Source organism: Homo sapiens, chromosome 11, assembly GCF_000001405.40.
Source record: "Homo sapiens chromosome 11, GRCh38.p14 Primary Assembly".
NCBI lineage: Eukaryota > Metazoa > Chordata > Mammalia > Primates > Hominidae > Homo > Homo sapiens.
In genome coordinates, this window is record NC_000011.10 from 119,510,187 (window position 1) to 119,512,384 (window position 2,198).

General features: G+C 50.2%; 2 annotated features.

Moving 5' to 3' along the window:
• Positions 229–318: a silencer, noted in NCBI's record as "silent region_3981". NCBI's record gives its function as "represses an Ori minimal core promoter by ATAC-STARR-seq in GM12878 lymphoblastoid cells {active_cell/tissue: GM12878}" and the evidence as "EXISTENCE:reporter gene assay evidence [ECO:0000049][PMID:35858748]".
• Positions 982–1,171: a silencer, noted in NCBI's record as "fragment chr11:119381879-119382068 (GRCh37/hg19 assembly coordinates)". NCBI's record gives its function as "represses an EF-1alpha promoter that drives an FKBP-Casp9 reporter gene in an ReSE screen in K562 erythroleukemia cells {active_cell/tissue: K562}" and the evidence as "EXISTENCE:reporter gene assay evidence [ECO:0000049][PMID:32094911]".

Sequence of the window (2,198 nt, forward strand, 5' to 3'; positions counted from 1 at the left end):
AAACTCCTCCCTTCTAGAGAGGAGTCTCTGGGGAGTGAAGCCAATGGGTGGAGTCAGAGACATCTGCTGTGCTCCAGCTGCAATGGAGGCTGGGTAACCCAGTTTCTGCTTTCTGCTTTCAGAAGGTGTGACTCATAAGACTGGAAACTCCTGAACGTAGCAAGGATGCTGGCAGCCAAGCCAATGACTACAAACATGATAAAGTCCATTACAAGGATGGAAAGTCCACAGAACAGAAAATGTGTCTATTTTTTCACCAGTGACCCTCCAGCACTCAGCTATGCCTGGAACAAGGTAGACAGTCAGAATAACATGTCGAATGAATGAATGAATAAATGGCAGAGAGGGTGGTGATGATCAGGGGGCTTGGACAAGCAGTCCTTTTACTTACAGATATCCCAGGAAAGATTTGAGGCCTCTGGACAGCTCTTTGAGCTTAATTTGGACCAGTCTTGCCACCCAGTCTGTGATCTGGGCCATTGGTCTGATTCTCTACTCTTTGACGAATGGGCAAAGGCCTGGCTCTTGGAATTGGGTGAAAAGAAATTGACCCAGCTCAAGTGGGGAAGGTTGAAGCACACATGGCTGATGATTAAAACATATATTGATTTCAGCAATCTCTACACACTTTCTCCACTGTTACTACGGTGGATGTTGTTTAGCCCAGTGTCCAGTCTGAATTTCCTCCTTCCTGACAGACCCTATTGTTGTTCTGGCACCCCTCCTCAGGGTGTGTGTCTCAGGGAAGGAGTTGGTCTTATCCCAGCTCCTGAACCACCTGCTTGGTCTAAAGTAATCCTCTCTCCTTACCAACGATTGGTCAAGAGTGGGCCAATAAGATGCAAGCAGGTATTTTTGGGGGTGGGATGGAGGAAGACATCTTTACGCTTTTGAAAGAGTTTTTGAAGGTTGCTCTAATCTAGTTTTCTCGGAATGTTGTTGTGGGTGAGTCTAAGGCCCTTAACTGCCCCAGCCATCTCTGATCTAGTCATAGATAGCGTACATACACACACACACACACATGCACACACACACATGCACACACACACACACACGTCACAGGGAAACAGGGCCAGGCTTCCAGACAACACCAGCCCTGAATTCTGCCCTACCTGCAGGTTTCCAGAGCTCCATAAGATCGGAGCCACTTTGAGTTTTGGATATTCGGTGTTTTGTCTCTGAGTACCCCCCGACAGCTACCCGGACCACTGCTTGCTCGTGTGTGTGATGGCCCCAACCCCAAGGCAAGACTGGCATCTGGCTGATGCTGAGGGGCTAATAAAGGATGGCCCCCTGCCCGTTCTCAAATGCCCTCCTATGGGTGCATGTGAGTCTGAGATGCATCAGGGACGGGCTTTCCTTTCAAGGCAGCCCTGTGTCTAAAGGACCCTGTTTAGGATAGAAATGCTCCAAGAATAGGTGACCCACAGCCAGTTAGCATCGCAGAGCATGAAGGAGTTGGTCAGGGAGGTGTGAAGCCAGCTGCCAGCCACCCTAGGGACTTGGATGGAAAGAGACCTTGGGCAGAGGGAAGAGAGGCAGAGCTTCCCTTCTGCCCAAGGTCTCTGTTGAGCAGACTCTGCTGAGCACGTGGCATGTCCTGTGACCCCCAATTAGGAAAGCAGTTGCGGGAACATATCTGCCTCCACATCACCGCCCCACAGGGGCATGGACTGCTTCCACATTATTTAAAGAGAAAGGAGGGCATGTTCTTCAGGTCTCCAAAGGGCTCCCTATTTCCCTGGGAGGGGAGTCGGGCGGAACATAAATAAGACAATTTATTCAGAGAAACCATCTCCCCTATTTACATTTAAATTGAATAATTTAAAACACCTTTACCCATTTCCATAAATTATCCCCTGTCGGACGGGCAGCACAACTGTGCAGAGGGGGTTCCGTCCTGGGGAAAGGCCTAATTACATTCCCTGCACAAGGCTGGGTGGGAGAGGGAGCGTGGGGAGGTGGGCAGGGGCGGGCAGGCCTGGGAGGAGGGAGCTCCATGAGGGGCAGATGTTTGCCTTATAATTGGCAGGAAGAAGGGGGTGAGGTGATAAGAAAGTGAGGTGCCTTTAAGAGCTTTAAAATCCAGGGGTAAAGGGCCTCAAATCTTCCGCTTCACAGGAGCAAAGTCACTAGGACCGATCTCCTGCCTCCCAGCCAAGGGCATCACTCACACTTTAATCCTGGATCCTGGATCA